This window comes from Homo sapiens, chromosome 5 (genome assembly GCF_000001405.40).
Source record: "Homo sapiens chromosome 5, GRCh38.p14 Primary Assembly".
NCBI lineage: Eukaryota > Metazoa > Chordata > Mammalia > Primates > Hominidae > Homo > Homo sapiens.
In genome coordinates this window covers 161,985,148-162,003,310 of record NC_000005.10, presented here as the reverse complement: position 1 = coordinate 162,003,310, position 18,163 = coordinate 161,985,148, and the positions used below count along the sequence as shown (strand labels likewise).

General features: G+C 37.6%; 1 long non-coding RNA gene across 1 annotated transcript in view; it reads left to right on the top strand.

Annotated features, from left to right (window-relative positions):
* The first annotated feature begins 2,114 nt into the window (after nucleotides 1-2,114).
* The window catches only part of LINC01202 (long intergenic non-protein coding RNA 1202), a 90,735-nt gene continuing 74,686 nt past the window's right edge, over nucleotides 2,115-18,163 (top strand). Inside the window, exon 1 of the long non-coding RNA NR_126372.1 lies at nucleotides 2,115-2,191. This is a non-coding gene — a long non-coding RNA (long intergenic non-protein coding RNA 1202). The remainder of the gene's footprint in view (nucleotides 2,192-18,163) is intronic.

The window sequence follows — 18,163 nt, the reverse complement described above, 5'->3', positions numbered from 1 at the left end:
TTAGGGAGATAGTCCATGGGGATTTAAAATACTATAAAAAAGAAACTGTAATTGGATTTCATTATGGAGTCATAGTTCAAACAACGGGATTGCAGTGCAGTAGAACCTGCCAGTCTCAGATGAGAGGCTTTGGCAATCTGTTCTTCCCATGCACAAATGCAGTGCACCTGTGAGGTTCTTAATCTTCCAGAAAATTGAAGCTGTCCACCTTCAAGTAGAGATTTAAAACCTCTAACAGTAATCAGTGGAAATGAAGTGGGCATTGCAATTGATAAGGTGTAGGAGTCACGTAAACCTTTTGTCCACTCTGTCATATGGAGTCCTAAAATTTCTGTCTCTCTGTGATTAAAATGAATGATCAATGTATGATCTAATTTAGAGCAAGGAGGCCTCCTCATTGTTAAATTATCTCAATAATAAAAGTGAATTCTGAATGTTTTCCTGGGATTTAATGTTAATCTTTTATTTTTTAAATTTCCATGCTTCTTTTTACTGTTCAAGATGAATGAAGAGGAAGATTATAAATTTCGTGTAATACTAAAATGGTTTTATTTCATATCTTGTGTTTTTTTTTTTCCTGTGGGAGAAAGAGGGGGAGTAGATTGTGACTTTATGATGAAACGAACAGTTGGCCTCCTTAAAAAATCATTTTTCCCTCCAAACTTTCAACTACTTTGGAATTTCCAATTCAATTTTTAAAATGTGAAAAATGCTTTAGGTAATTTCGTTTGAGTCAACAAAACTCTGGCATTTTCTTTCTTTCTTTTTTTTTTTTTTTGAGATGGAGTTTCACTCTTGTGGCCCAGGATGGAGTGCAATGGTGTCATCTCGGCTCACTGCAGTCCCCGCCTCCCAGGTTCAAGAGATTCTCTTGCCTCAGCCTCACAAGTAGCTGGGATTACAGGCACCCGCCACCACGCCCAGCTAATTTTTGTATTTTTAGTAGAGACGAGGTTTCACCAAGTTTGCCAGGCTGGTCTCGAACTCCCGGCCTCAAGAGATCCACCCACCTCGGCCTCCCAAAGTGCTGGGATTACAGGCGTGAGCCACTGCGCCAGGCCAACACTGGCATTTTCAAATGATGTTTAGAAGCCTCGATAGCTTGTGACTTTAAAAATGAACCATCAGTTTTAGTCTTGTTTTTTCAGAGCTGCAGTTAAACATGCCATATGTTGACTAATCTGCAAATAATACATCTGTGATCTTTTGTGGAATTTCCCTCCTCCAGACTTCTATTCCAAGCTCCACATGAGTTAAGAAGTGTCTTGTGAGTTATAGTTACTGTGCTTTCCTTCTATGGGCTGAAGATTTTGAAGGCCTCTCTGTAGCCACATGTGATTCACATTTTGCATAAAGGAATTAGGTTCAGCAACAGGCAAAAAAATAGCCTTTGTTAAGTATCTACAATCTATTAAATTGCTTTCTTAGGAATAATAAGTAAATGTGATACATAATTTTACCTTCAAGAAATGTGTAATATAAGGGAAGAGACCGTGTACACTCAGACACCACACACAAACACAAGTTGTAATAAATAATAGTTGCATGGGAGATAAGTCAGGGTTAGAAGAGTGAAGAGAAGCAAAAAGTCAAGAGTGGTGGCTCATACCTATAGTCTGTGCTTTGGGAGGCCAAGGCAGCAGGATCGCTTGAGGCCAAGAGTTAGAGTCCAGCTAGGCTAACATAGTAAGACTCTATCTCTACAGAAATAAATAAATAAATATTACCCAGCTGTAGTAGTGTGGAGCTGTAGTCCCAGCTACTCAGGAGGGAGAGGTAGGAGGATTACTTGAGCCCAGAAGTCCAAGGCTGCAGTGAACTATGATCATGCCACTGCACTCCAGCCTGGGCGACAGAGTAAGATCCTGTCTCAGAGAGAGAGAGAGAGAGATTGAGAAGAGAGAAGTGCAAGATCACACTTCTGCAGCTCTTTTTTTCTCCTTCTGGCACATTTTTCATTTTTAAGACCCCACGTCCTCCATATATGCTTTCCTGGCCCACCCATTTCCCTCCTCCCCTTACACAGATGGAGAACTTCCTTTCTGGTGTTCTCTCAGCACTCAGCACAGATTGCTAGTGCTTTTATGTGCTGAGCCTTTCCCTTCAACCTGGACTGAAAGAGGATGGCAATCTCGCTGAAGCTGTTTCTTTTTCTTCACAACATATAGGAAAGTGTTGCCCCTTTTTGGAGGTAAGCCCTTTTGTTCTTAAAAATTCTATAAGAAAGAATGAGGGGAAAAGGAAAAGAAGTTATTAAACCAAATTGAGGAAGAGATATGTATCTCTCTCCATGCTTGAAAATTAAAAGGAAATATTAGAAAATTTGCTAGACAGTTAATGATTTGGACCATCTGTAGTGGCCTCCGTAACATATAAAAGAATAGAATCTCCTTTTAATTAATTTTCAGTTGTAAATCATGCTGCAAAATAGCAACCATCCTTAGAGACTAAATCTTATGAGTCATGGCTTCATAATAATGTGACCCAGATTTCACAGACATACAACACTGAAATATTATATTTTTTCCAATACTTTGAAATAATCTGTTTAAATTTGTAGTGAGGGAATATTTTGATATACTAACTACTAGGGATTTATTTCCCTGTCAACTACTACCACTTATTTTACATTGCTATTCACATTAAAATAGATCAGAGTGATAAATCATATGCACAGAACAGAAGTAAAAATAAAAACAAACTTCTTTAACTTTTTGGAGAGAATTTAAGCTTGAAAGCATAAGGTTTTGGCTTGTACAAGCTTGTTAACTCAGAATTTAAATGGCTAAGCCCCAAAAGGAGAAGCTTATATTAGAAAGAATACATTTGAAAGAAAATAAAAACAGATAAATCTGACTCCGCTATTATAGACTAGAAACAGGTCCCAAAAGATTAGAAAGTTTTGTGAGACCCTGGGGAAAACAAACAAAGAAACAAACAAAAAATACACACACACACACACACACACTCACACACACACACACACATATAGACTGTCCAGGACCATGATCAGCAATGATTGATTGCCTCAAAGAGTGAGTGGGAGCTATGGCACAATCACAGACATATCACTGAGTGCTACCTTTGTGGAGGTCATAGTCCATCTCAGGCTGACATTAACAGGTTCAGCAGAAAGGATGTGCCATCTGCCAAGAACATCACTCAACCCTGTTCAAATTATTACTTGCAAATAAAATCCCTCTTTTTGCCCATAATACAGGACATTAAAACATTAAACAGGTGCAATTTTGTCTGCTCCTCTTGGAAACATTTGACCACTTCTGGAGACAATTTTGATTGTCAGACCTTGGAGGGAGGGATGGTGTTGATATCTAGTGTGTAAATGCCAGCATTGCAGCTAAATATCCTACAATCCTCCATACAACTCTCCTACAACAAATAATTAGCCAGTTTTCTGGCCTAAAATGTCAGTAGTGCTGAGGTTAAAAACTCTTACCTAAAGCATGGCCCATAGTGAAGCAACTTTTGTTATGCCTACTCTATATTAAGACCATGATACACTAACATAAGACTTATAAAAAAGATAAATAAGACATTTTAGTAGTCTTTATCTAGAAATTAAAGTGGAAAGAGGAGTATGCTCTGCAAATGAGAGATAAAATTCCCAGAAATAATTTTCTGTTAATTATTTTTAATAAAAACATTTTTGCTTCTTTTTCTTTTTATATATGTATTTTTTAAGAGGGAGGATCTCACTCTGTCATCCAGCCTGGAGTGTAGTGGTGCAATCTTGGCTCACTGCAGCCTTGAATACCAGGGTTCAAGCTGTTTTATTAAAATAAATATATATGAGGAGATACTTATACCTCTATGTAATACAATTAAACCATGTTTTGCTGAATAACAAATTACTCCAAAACTTAACGACTGAAAACAACCAAGATTTATATTCTCACACTTTCTGTGGTCAGAAATTTGGAAGTGGTTTGCCTGGATTTCTGTGACTCAAAGTCTCTAATGAGGTTTCACATAAGCTGTTAGCGAGAGCTGCAGACATACCAAGACTTAAGTGAGTCCAAAGGATCCACTAAGGTCACACACATGATTATTAGGCTTCAGGTTTTTTACTGGCTGCTGAACTGACAGCTTCAGATCTCAGCCATGAAGTATGGGCTTCTCTACAGGGCTGCTCAGGATATAGCAGCTGGCTTCTTCTTCATGGCAACGGAGCCAAGGAGAATGAGGGAGGGAGGGAAGGAGAGAAGGAGCGAGAGAGAAAGAGCAAGCAAGTGAAAGATGGAAATGATGGTCTTTTATGAGCTAATTGATCTTATTTAGGTGATTGTTGCTGTAGTTGTTGCTTGTTGTATATTCCTAAACCTAACTAAAGCTCATTTCTTAGATTTTGGCTTCTCTACATATACAAATGTAGATATAAATTAGAACAGAATAGAAACAATAATTGCAGTCTGTACTCAAGGGGAGGAATACACAAGAGAATGAAGGCCAGGAGATAGAGATCAATGTGGGAACTGCACACCCTATTATATTGAATAAGACACTGAGATTCAATAGATGCAGTAAATTCATACTGCTGTGAAAGGTGGATTTGATATTGGAAGCTAGGAGTCCCAGGACTGAATAATTAGCTCTTTCTTCTTACAAATAAATTATGTAAATCGTTTGTGTGTTGATTTATGTGATCATAAATTATATTACTTTAAATTATTAACAACATTATGATGATTTATTTTTTACCTCCTTGCGTTAGTTAGGTTTAGGCTTCTCTGCATATACAACAAGCAATAACTAGAGCAATGATCACCTAAACAAGGTCAACTTTATTTTCCATCTCTGGAAAAAGAGAAGTGAAGTCTGGAGGTAGATAAGCTGAAGCAGATAAGAAGGCTCCACGCTGTGATTCAGGGCCCCAGACTGCTATTGTTCTGCTCCATCACTCTCTTTAGTGCTTCTATTTTCAAGTTCACTTCATGATCCAAGATGGTTGTGGGAATTCTAAAATATCATTACTTGACAAGGAAAGATGGAAGATAGAAGAAAAAGTCCCTTTTTTTTCAGCCAATTTTAGTTCCAAATGATCCAACTTTCTCAAAATTGTATATACTATTTCCCTTTACATCTCATTGGCCATAACTAAGTCACATGGCCATATCTAACTGTAAAGCAAACGGGAAAACATGGTTATTTATTCTGTGCAGCAACATGTTCAAATATTTTTAAAAATTCCAATGCTAAGATGGAAGAGAGTAGATAGCAAAGTAAGAAAATGGCTGTTTTTTTCTTTTCTGTGTTATAAAAGAAATGCTTTCCCACTAAAAACTGTAAACAGTAGAGAAAAGTAGAAAAATGATATAAAATGATACCTACACTCCCATTTTCCCCAAGATAAGCATTTTTTCTTTCTTTTTGTAAAAATTTCTATTTTCAATTTTTGTGGGTTCATAGGAGGTGTATGTATTCATGGAGGTGTATGTATTTATGGAGTAAATGAGATATTTTGATACAGTTATGCAATGTGTAATAATCATATCAGGGTAAATGTGGCATTCATCACCTCAAGCATTTATATTTTGTGTTACAAACCATCCAATTATACTCTTTTAGTTATTTTGAAATTCACAATTAAATTATTATTATTGACTGTTGTGCTTTCAAATACTAGATCGTATTAATTCTATATAACTACTTTTTGTACCCATTAACCATCCCCACTTTCCCTCTAAACCTCCAACTACCTTTCCCAGCCTCTGGTAACCATTGTCCTCTCTCTATCTCCATGAGTTCAATTGTTTTAATTTTTAGTTCCCGCAAATCAGTAAGAACATGTCAAGTTTGTCTTTCTGTGCCTGGCTTATTTAAGTTAACATAATGGCCAGACGGTCCATCCATGTTTTTGTAAATAACAGTATCTCATATATTTTATGGATGAATAGTGCACCATTGTGTATTTGTGCCACATTTTCTTTATCCATTCATTTGTTGATGGACACTTAGGTTGCTTCCACATCCTGGCTATTGTGAATAGAGCTGCAATGAATATGGGAGTGTAGATATCTCTTCAATATACTGATTTCCTTTTTGGGGGGTATATACCCAGCAGTGGGATTGCTGGATCGTATGGTAGCTCTTTTTAGTTTTTCGAGGAACCTCAAAACTGTTCTGCATAGTAGTTTTACTAACTTACATTTTCATCAACAGTGTACAGGGTTCCCTTTTCTCCATATCCTCACCAGCATGTATTATTGCCTGTCTTTTGGATACAAGCCATTTTAACTGTAGTGAGATGATATCACATTGTAATTTTGATTTGCATTTCTCAGATTGTTGTATCAATGATGTTGAGCACGTTCTCTTTTACCTGTTTGCCATTTGTATGTCTTATTTTGAGAAATGTCTATTCAGATATTGGAGAAAGGACAATCTCTTCAATAAATGGTGCTGGGAAAATGATATCCACATGCAGAAGAATGAAACTAGATGCCTATGTCTTGCCATATACAAAATAAACTTGAAATTGATTAAAGACTTAAATCTAAGACCTCAGACTGAAACTACAAAAAGGAAACATTTGGGAAATTCCCCAGGACATTGCTCTGGGAAAAGATTTCTTGAGTAATACCCCACAAGCAAAGGCAACCAAAGCAAAAATGGACAGATAGAATCACATCAAATTAAAAAGCTCTGCTCAGCAAAAGAAACAATCAACAAAGTGAAGAGACAACCCACAGAATGGGAGAAAATATATGCAAACTATTCATCTGACAAGGGATTGATAGCCAGAATATATAAAGAGCTCAAACAACTCTAGAGGAAAAAATTTAACTTATGAGTTAAAGACAGGTAAAATATCTCAATAGACATTTCTCAAAAGAAAACATACAAATGGCAAACAGGTATAGGAAAAGGTGCTCAACATCATTGATCATCAGATAAATGAAAATCAAAACTACAATAAGATATCATCTCACTGCAGTTAAAACAACTTTTATCTGAAACAAGGGCAATAGCAAATGTTGGCAAGGATGTTTAGAAAAGGGAATCCTCATTCACTGTTAGTGGGAATGTAAATTAGTACAACCACTATAGAAAACAGTTTAGAAGCTCCTCAATAAATGATAAATAGAGCTACCATATAAGTCAGCAATCTCACTGCTAGGTGTACACCCAAAAGAAAGGAAATCAGTATATTGAAGAGGTATCTGCACTCCCATGTTTATTGCAGCACTATTCTGAAGTTAAGCACTTTGTAACTTCACTATGTATTTTCTTCCCTCGCTTTCCTCAATACAAAGCTTGAGGGTTATTTCTTTTTATATTTAATATGAGGGGATGTGCTGGATTTACAAAAAAAAAGAATAAAATAAAAAAGTGTGGAGCGAAGACAGGAAAGCTAGACTCATTTTGAGGATTTATATGAGAACAAAGATGGCCAATTATGTCCTAGAATAAAGGAACTTGAAAGTAAATAGGATTGTTTATTGCAGTCAGCCAAGTGTTTTAGGATCTTTGTAACAATATATACATTATGATATATTCCGGGAATTTCATTTGGATGATTAGAATATTCTACAAAAGGAGAAGACTAAAGTAAAGTTTGATGACAGACTAATGTTGTTTATCCATCCAGTCATGAGATAATGACATCCTAGAGAATGGTGGGTAAAGTGAAATGGAAGGAAAGGATGCAACAAGGTAACTTTGCAAAAGTTGGAAATGATGGGATGTGTGTAAGCTGGGATAAATAATTGACTATAAGATTTGTTTTCCTTATTTGAGGGTATGGATAAAATCAAATAAGTAGTAAAGTAGGGATGAGAGAGTAAGCTATAAATAATATTTAAGGAGATTTGAGGTTCATATAGATGAGAGTCAGGATCCCCACTAGAGATGGGTATGCACTGCAGCCATGTTTGTTTGCTTGAGTGGTTTTGTTTAGGTTTTTGCTCTCAGCTTCAACTTTATTGTTGCTTCAGTACTCTTTGTCTATGAAAGGACTAGTTCCATGATGAAGACCACTTGAAAAGTGACTGCAGCAATTTTGGTAGTAAGACAATTGGTGTCAGTTGCTGGTAGGATCCAGGGTGAGAAACTGAGTTAGCAGGGATATTATTTCATCTATGCAGAATACTGGCTTCGTGGTTTGTAATGTTCTTCAGATTCCTAACATTTCCCAAGAGTTGCGTGAATGAATTTTTCTTCTCTTGCCAAATGCCAAATGGTCAGTGTCTCATGTGGAACTAAAAATAATTGAGTAAATTACACTCAGATTGTTTTGCCCATCTCTTAACTCAGAAGTTGTTCTAGGTGTTGTTGTGGTTGTTGTTTTTCCCTCCAACAATGGATAGAAAAACAATTGCTAAAGTTTTGTTTTTGTTTTCTGAAACAGAATCTCAACATGTTGCCCAGGCTGGAGTGCAGTGGCCCAATCTCGGCTCACTTCGACCTGCACTTCTGGGGTTCAAGCCATTCTCGTGCCTCAATCCCACGAGCTGGGATTACAGGCATGCACCACCCCTCCCAGCTGATATTTGTATTTTTAGTAGAGACTGGGTTTCGCCATGTTGCCCATGCTAATCTTGAACTCCTGACCTCAGGTGATCTGCCCACCTCAGTCTCCCAAAATGTTGAGATTACAGGCATGAGCGATCACACCCAACCACAAATGCTGAAGTTTTGCCTGTCCTGGTTAAAACTCCAGAACTCAAATTAATCCTGCAATCAGAATTTGCAAGTTTTCCAAAAAGTCACTAAACGGCTGCCATAGATCTGGTCTTCTCCAATACTACAGGGGGCGAGGGACCACAGTATGATTATCTCACTATTAGAAATGTAACTCTTTTAAAGTTGTATATTCTAGAAGTCTGAAAAAAACTGAGTTTGAGTCCCAATTCTCAAATAGAAAATTATATTCTGTCTAACACATGGAGCTTTGGGAAGAATTAAAGAAAAACGTATAAATAAGCCAGATATCTTTTACATTTGGAAGTAGATAACATACAGATATTCATTGCAAGATTATTTACAATAAAAAAATATGGTAAAATTCTGAAGTTCAATAGAAAGGCAAAGGGTAATTATGTTTGATTAATGCTTTGGAATAGTTTGGAGCAGTTACAAAGATGAGGAAGATTTACACAGAAAAAATGCTAAGATATTGTTGAGATAAGAAAGTCTCAGAAAAAGTATTTTGCCAACATTTGTTTGAAAAACAGAGTAATGTATTTTAACTTCCCCCGTTTGCGAAAGACGAAACAATCTGCATAGAGAGGTTAAATAAATTTCCAAGGGTCACACAGATACTTGAATTCAAACTTAGATCTATCTGATAACTACAGACCATATTTCACTAAAAAGGAATCAGAGTTATTAGAAATGCAAAGAATATCAGACATTGTTTAGTTCAGTGGCTTGTTCCCTGTACATCTAACGGCCTGAGAAGGACTTCCTTTGGTTTTTGCCCTTTCCCCCACAACCTCTTTCTACTTTAACCAGAGAAGTTGCATATTTTTATTGCTTTTTATTTAAGAGTTTGATGAAAAAAATGTTTCAGGTGTTCTATTGCTAACTGAAATCCCGTACTTCAAATTAAAAATAAGGGCCTTGAAGCCCAGAGAGAGTGAAACAAGTTTCCCAGAGTTACAAAACGAAGAACTAGAAATTAGAACTTTGTCCTCCAAAGCCAGGGTGACTTCTAGGGTACACTTCTGACTCTATACATTCTTAGATCTTAGCCTAGGTGCCTCTGTGAACAATAAGAAGAAAATTATTACTAGAAAAACAATGACATGCAGAGAATTATCTTAGGGAGGCATCAGGGACTGAACAAGGGGAAGTTGGGCCTAAAGAGGGAAAACTGAAATGCCAGATGGTTAAGAAAGGGTGAGGAGACTTTCTTCAAAACATTTTTGCTTTCAACATCCATTTTCAGAGGTTCTGCTATTCCCTTGGAACAGGAATACATTTTCAAAGGGGACTAATTGCACTCTCTTAGGGGCAAAAAAATTAAGTGCGTCGTAGTTTAATTGAGTGTAGATAGATTAGTTTCTATCCATGGTTTATTTGTCTTCTTTTAGTAATGGAGACTCACTGAAAATGAGCAGCCAATGAGCAGAGAAAACCGGCTCTTAGATCCCAAACTGATGGGTGCTTGGAATGTAAACACTGGTCTCATGTCCCCTATTACAATTTCAGGACATATCTGTTTTCTTTCATTCATGCCTCATTATTAGTTCCTGTGGCCTTTGCTGGCCACCAGTAAGTTTAAATTCAGAAATACTTTATTACAGTGTTGTATGAAAATACTGGACTAGAAAACAGGACACCTGCTTTAAATCTGGGGGAAAATCTCTTTTAACCCCACAACATCTCCATTTTGTCATCTGTAATGAGTTCACGAAAAAATTATTCAAAGAATATTTATTGATTTCTTATTTAGGAGATATCACTAATTTCTCTCTTGAGACACTTCTTTCCAGGTGAAAGGAGGTCAGTTAATGTACCTATTGGCTTCTCTCCGCCTCTTGACATACTGACCCTCTAGGACAGCAGAGTGATCTCATCTGATACCAGAAGAATAAACTGGTCAGTCTCAGTACAGCTCCTTCTTTTTTCATTGTAAGTCATGAATTCTCATTTGATCCTCCAGCAGTATATTTTTCTGCATCAGGCCTGACCCAGCTGATATTGACTGAAACAGGTAGAGAGAGTCAGCCTAATTCTTGTGTTAATTAGTTGACCTATTTGTTTATCACACTATACTACAGCCAGTGATGTAGATAATACTTTGACCTTCATCTTCCACTCCTTTTTTCTCTTTTTTTCCCCCATCTCTGTTTCTCAAACACTTATGGAGAAGATGTAAAGATGTGGACCTTTGCACCACCAATGTGTCAGTCACTCTTCTAGATTTGGGGTGCCATTGACAGATAAGAACTCTTCAAATACAGCTTTCCATCTTGTGGAAGAGACAAACAACAAAAGCAATAAATCTATAGGATGATTGTTTTAAGATAATATTAGGGACAGAATCATTGACTGGACTTATCATCTGCCACTCCTTTTTTCTCTTTTTTTTTCCACCTCTCTGTTTCTCGAACACTTATGGAGAAGATGTAAAGATGTGGCCCCTCCAAGACCTTTGCACCACCAGTGTGTCAATCGCTCTTCTAGATTTGGGGATGCTATGGTGCCGTTGACAGATAAGAACTTTTCAAATAGAGCTTTCCATCTTGTGGAAGAGAAAAACAACAGAAGCAATAAATCTATAGGATGATTGTTTTAAGATAATATTAGGGACAGAATCTTTGACTGGACTTACTTCAGATTGAATAGTAATGGGCATTTGAGCTGGTGTCTGAATAGGGAGAAATAGTCAGGCCTGTGAAATTTTGAGGAAAGAACATTTCAGGCAGTAAAAAGAGCAAGTGAAAAATAATTTGGCATGTTCCAGGAACAAAAAGAGAAAGGCTAATATGACTGTGACAAAAGTGATGTGTGGGAGAAAATGTAGGGAAATTGAAACCAAGTTGTAGGCAAAACCTTCCTACTCAAATGAAAGAAATGAAAAATAAATTATTTGAGAAAATATTACAGGCATGCTCCTGTTTTAGGTGATCAAATAAAGGGAGGGAGGTAGAGAGATAGAAAGATAGACCGATAGACAGGCATTCAGATCTTTCCTTAAAGTACTTTTGGGGCCAGGCGCGGTGGCTCATGCCTGTAATCCCAGCACTTTGGGAGGCCGAGGCGGGCGGATCACGAGGTCAGGAGGTCGAGACCATCCTGGCTAACACGGTGAAACCCCGTCTCTATTAAAAATACAAAAAAAAATTAGCCGGGTGTGGTGGCAGGCGCCTGTAGTCCCAGCTACTCGGGCGGCTGAGGCAGGAGAATGGCGTGAACCTGGGAGGCGGAGCTTGCAGTGAGCCAAGATAGCGCCACTGCAGTCCAGCCTGGGCGAAAGAGCGAGACTCCGTCTCAAAAAAAAAAAAAAAAAAAAAAAAAGTACTTTTGGAATGTTTAGAAGAACAATGAATTTTATTACTGAAAGAATGATATCTATTCTTTTTGGTTTTGTTTTACTTATGTTTTATGCTCAACATCAATTCTCCTTTCCACATTTTAATATTTTCATATGATCAGGCACAAATATAAGCAGCATGTCTCTATCCATTTGTCACCTCACTGTGTAATACACACACACACATTCACAGAGAGAGAGAAAGAGTGAGAGAGAGAGAGACTAAAAGAGAGAGAGAACCTGAGTATCTCTGGGGATTTGAAAGAGCTGGACAACTGATAGCTGGAAGTCACAACAATGTCTGGGTTGTTCCAGGTACATCTCTGTAATCAATCAGGGATTTGAACAAGCCCTCTTGACCTTAATATTTTTATGAAGTAAAAATCAGGGAAATCCCTGTGATATGGTTTGGCTGTGTCCCTACCCAGATCTCATCTTGAATTCCCATGTGTTGTGACAGGGACCCAGTAAGAGATAATTGAATCATTGGGGCAGATCTTTCCCATGCTGTTCTCATGAGAGTGGGTAAGTCTCACAAATCTGATGGTTATTGTAAGGGGGAGTTTTCCTGCACAAGCTCTCTTTGCCTGCCACCATCCACATAAGCTGTGACTCACTTCTCCTTGCCTTCCACCATGATTGTGAGGCTTCCCCAGCCATGTGGAACTATAAGACCAATTAAATCTCTTTGTTTTGTAAATTGCCCAGTCTTGGGTATATCTTTATCAGCAGCATGAAAATGGACTAATACAGTAAATTGGTACCAGTAGAGTGGGGTGCTGCTGAAAAGATACCCAAAAATGTGGAAGCGACTTTGGAACTAGCTAACAGTTGGAACAGTTTGGAGGATTCAGAAAGACAGGATGATATGGGAAAGTTTGGAACCTCCTAGATACTTATTGAATGGCTTTGCCCAAAATGCTGATAGCGATATGCAAAATAAAGTCTAGGCTGAAGTGGTCTCAGATGGAAATGAGGAAGTTTTGGGGTACTGGAGCAAAGGTGACTCTTGTTATATTTTAGCAAAGAGACTGGCGACATTTTCCCCCTGCCCTAGAGATTTTTGGAACTTTGAACTTGAGTGAGGTGATTTAGGATATCTAGTGGAAGTACTTTCTAAGCAGCAAAGCATTCAAGAGGTGACTTGGGTGCTGTTAAAGGCATTCAGTTTTGTAAGGGAATCAGAACATAAACGTTCAGAAAATTTGCAGCCTGAAAATGTGATAGAAAAGAACATTCCATTTTCTGAGGAGAAAGTCAAGCTGGCTGCAGAAATTTGCATAAGTAATGAGAAGCAGAATGTTAATTTCCAAAACAATGGGGAAAATGTCCCCAGTGCATGTCAAAGGTCTTCACAGCAGGCCTCCCATCACAAGCCTGGAGGCTTAGGAGAAAATGGTTTCTTGGACATGGCCCAGGGTCCCCATGCTGTGTGCAGTCTAGGGACTTGGTGCCCTGCATCCCAGCCACTCCAACCATGACTAAAAGGGGCCAAGGTACAGCTTGGGCTGTTGCTTCAGAGGGTGGAAGCCCCAAACTTTGGCAGCTTCCATGTGGTGTTGAGCCTGCGAGTTCACAGAAGTCAAGAAATGGGATTTGGTAGCCTCCACCTAGATTTCACCTGATAAAAACATAAGGGAGACGGGGCAATATGGAAATGCATGGATGCCCAGTCAGAAGTTTGCTGCCGGGGCAGGGCCCTTGTGGAGAACCTCTGTGAGGACAGTATGGAAGGGAAAGGTCGGGTGGGAGCCCCAACACAGAGTCCCTACTGGGGCACTGCCTAGTACAGCTGTGAGAAGAGGGCCACAGTCCTCCAGACACCAGAATGGTAGATCCACTGACAGCTTGCACTCTGCTCCTGGAAAAGACACAGACCTCAATGCCAGCTATGAAAGCTGCCAGGAGGGGGGCTATACCCTGCAAAGCCACAGGGAGCTGCCCACGACCATGGGCCCACCTGTTGCATCACTGTGATGTGGATATGAGACATGGAGTCAAAGGAGATCATTCTGGATCTTTAAGATTTGACTGTCCCACTGGACTTGCATAGGGCCTGTAGCCCCTTTGTTTTGTCCAATAGCTCCCGTTTGGAATGGCTGTATTTATTCAATGCCTGTACCTCCATTGTATCTAGGAAGTAACTAACTTGCTTTTGATTTTACAGGCTCATAGGCAGAAGGGACTTGCCTTGTCTCAGATGAGACTTTGGACTTGTGGACTTTAGAATTAAGGCTGAAATGAGTTAAGACTTTGGGGGACTTTTGGGAAGGCATGATTGATTTTTCAATGTGAGCACATGAGATTTGAGAGGGCCAGGGCAGAATGATATGGTTTGGCTGTGTCCCCACTTTAATCTCATCTTGAATTCCCACATCTTGTGGCAGAGACCCAGTGGGAGGTAATTGAATCATATGGGCAGGTCTTTCCCATGTTATTCTCATAATGGAGAGTAAGTCTTATGACATCTGATGGTTATTATAAGGGGGAATTTCCTGTACAAGCTCTCTTTTCCTGCTGCTATCCATGTGAGATGTGACTTGCTCCTCCTTGCCTTCCACTATGATTGTGAGGCCTCCTCACCCTTGTGGAACCGTAAGTCCAATTAAACCTCTTTTTTTTTTCTTGTAAATTGCCCAGTCTCAGCTATGTCTTTATCAGCAGTGTGAAAATAGACAAATACACCCTACAATTCCTCTCTCTTAACTATCCAAAGGAGTTAAATACTTTTGATTCTATCTCTGAAACTTTTTTTCAAATTATTGCCCTCTTTTATCTCCATATTAACTAGATGGAATCTTTCTGATCATCTTCCTAATTTTTTCTATACTATCTGCTTCTTCTTCCACTTTACTCCACAATTTTTGGAGATATAATAACAATGCAGCAAAGAAAGAGGAGGACAAAGAAAAATGATCACGAACAAGATTAATGTATGCAGCTCATTTAGCCAACAAACAGCACAATGCTCCTGTGAATTTATTCATTCTCAGAACAGTAGGTTGAGAAAGGTGGAGTAAACATACTTAATTCTGCAGTGTTGACATTGAGTGGGAGCCAGAGTCTTGAGCTATTGGAATTAGCAGGCCATATATGGATGGCATGAGAAATGTTTCTTTGTGGCCCACAGAGTTGCATTTTGTTTTTCAATAAATTAGATTTTGAGTTTTAAATATGAGGAAATTTCATACCACCATCAGACAGTCAGCCACTTTTTTAAAAATGAGAAGATTAGGCATACACGGCCTGAATTTTTGCATGATAACAACTATTTGGCACTGAGTAGAAGCTGTCCCCTTTGGAGAAGATATGCAGACTCATGACTTTGTTCATCACTACCCTGCTCACTCCATCAATTTATATTATCTTTCTTGCTCTTATAGGACATGGGCTTTATGACTTATGACTTAAGAGAATGCTGAATGATTTCATTAAATTGGTAAGGTAATTACATTAGGTAGACATGGCTTTGTATAATTTTTCCTCATTCTATTTGCCCTATAGCCATTCACAAACCCCAGATATGCTCCAGTTTCCTCATCTGCAGTATGAAGATTATAATATTTACCTAAGTAGTTTAAAGTATTGAAAGCTCACTGGAAAGCAATTTAGAGTTTAGTTACTAAGTAGCTGTTGCTGAAGAAGATTTGACTGAAATTATTGGAACAGTGCTAGGGTTTCTACAATAAGCACTGGTAATCTGGAGTCAAACCTGCCTTTATCAGTATAATGGGCATCTGTTTTGGAAGATTCCAGGCATCTATATAATGTTCTTTTGATACAATAGTGATTTTTTCATTGGAGAAGAAACCTTTCCTTCATAAGAATTCACTTGGTTTATTTGTGGTGGTGCTGAATTCACCTCTAGCATTAGGAATATCAGACTTGACCAATTAAGGCATTGTAACCCTCTCTCATTTCCCTCCCTCATACACAAGTGTGCTTACTTCAGGCATGGTCATGTAGGTACACAAACCAGAACTAATGATGCAGATAATGTACTCATGGGATTTTTGTTGAGATGGTTAAAAAATCATTTGTCTCTGATTCCTGTTTGTCCTTGAGGTAGTGAGGATGTAACTTTGGACTGCCAGGGGCCACCTCATAGAGAAAGTCTGCAAGAAAGTGCATCTAACACAAGTCAGGGAAGGCCAGCTGAATGATGGATGGGTATAAAGAAAAGAGGGAGAAACCCACAATATTGTTTGAACATGGATTAAGCTATTTCTGAATTTAGTGCTTACCCTGCAAATTCCAGTATCAATCCTTCTCTCCTACTCCCCACTTTGCTTGATGAATATATTTAAAATTTGTTTCTGCGATTTGTAAAGTATAGATTGCAGATTAATCCTTATCTATGCTGATGTCTATCTATCTATCTATCTATCTATCTATCTATCTATCTATCTATCTATCTATCTATGCATTTATCTATCCATCTATCTGCAGGGTCCAAATTTAGTCATTTCAACATTATTGTCTATTAAACTGGGTCATTTGAAGAACCCACATTTTATCTATTTCTGAATACGTTTTGTTTCCCCAAAATAAGATGTAGGAATTTTCATGTAATTTTAGTATTCATCTGAACCATTGGAGAAAGGAATAATTCATAGGTATTAAATAAGGAATAAGGAATAATTCATAGGTATTAAATAAATAGGTAAGAAGTTGGAGAACTTCTTACCAATACACTACCACATCAACACTTTTGCTATGATATTTAGCCTTTGAGTTTATAGTCCATTATGTTGTGTGTGAATGACCTGTAGGAATTAGTCTTCTTTAATTCAGCCAAAATACAAATTATTTAAGAACATAGACCATCCATGCCTTATACTACTAAAATGTTACCCACTGGCTCTTTATATATTATACAGTAGATACTATATAGATGACAGTTGCTAATAAATATTTGTATATTAACAGGGAATAATTGTGGATGGTTGAACTTTGTTGAATTGTATTTAATGAATGAACTAGTGACACAAGAGGAGAAAGCTGTCCTCCACCCCCAACACACGCAAATACCTGCTATCTGTACCAGTAGTATTCAGAAGTCCAATTTGTTTATCTTTGTGGCAATCACTAACATTCACAACAACTGCCTAAGTGTAATAATAATACCAATAATAGCTAACAAATGTTAATGAACACTTTCTGTACACCAGGTACTGTGCTGGGTACTTTATGTGCCTCATCTCATAACTACCTATGAGATAGTCAAATAACTACCCTTTAATCAAATAACTACCCTATGATGTATATAAGGTATTATTGTCCTCATTTTGCAGATGAGAAAACGTGAGGCTAATTGTAATTAAAGGATTTTCCTGGTAATTTAGAGTGGTGATATTGGGACTCAAACCCAGGTCAAACCCTATATTCCAAAGACTGTATTTTGAAACAAGTCCATGAATAATTGTACAATAAATATAAATCCAACCACCAAAGATTTAATACTTTATCAAATAAGATATGCATTTAAGTCAGACCATTCCAATTGTTCTTCCAACTTGGGCAAAAATATATCTAATATATTATGCCTAACCTAGTAACAGAGAACTACTAAAATTTAATTTTTATTTATGTGGATTTGGTTCTTTGAAAGTCTGAAAACTAAATCTCTCTGGTTTTGGATTCTGTTTTTGTAAGAATTAGAAAGACAGTGTTTTATAAAAGAGTGTCTTGGTTAAATTATCCAGAGTAACTGATCTTAATTTCTTCAGAGGTCCACATTAGCTCTAAGTCTCTTATAGTTTATGAAATTATCTAACATGAGAGTTCTTTATTTTTTAAATAAATTAGAAATATCCCTGAGGGTGATAGAATGCTCATCTAGAAAGGACAAAACAAAACAGCACTGATTTTTTTTATAAAGGAAAAAAAATTATTAACAGTCCCAGAAAAACAGATGTGTTTATTGATCTAAGAGATGACTTATGTTCACCAAATGCATTGAATGCTATTTCTTATGTGATATTTAAATTATGGCTCTATGATTGACTTTTTAAACATAAAACAAATATTTTGTTTCATTTATTAACCACTAAGTATACATTCTTTTTATGGGAATTCTAGTTCGTTTTCAACTATTAGGCAGTGTGTATCAGCTTTTTGACCTTAAGGAATTAATATATATAATGATTACACTGAAATTAA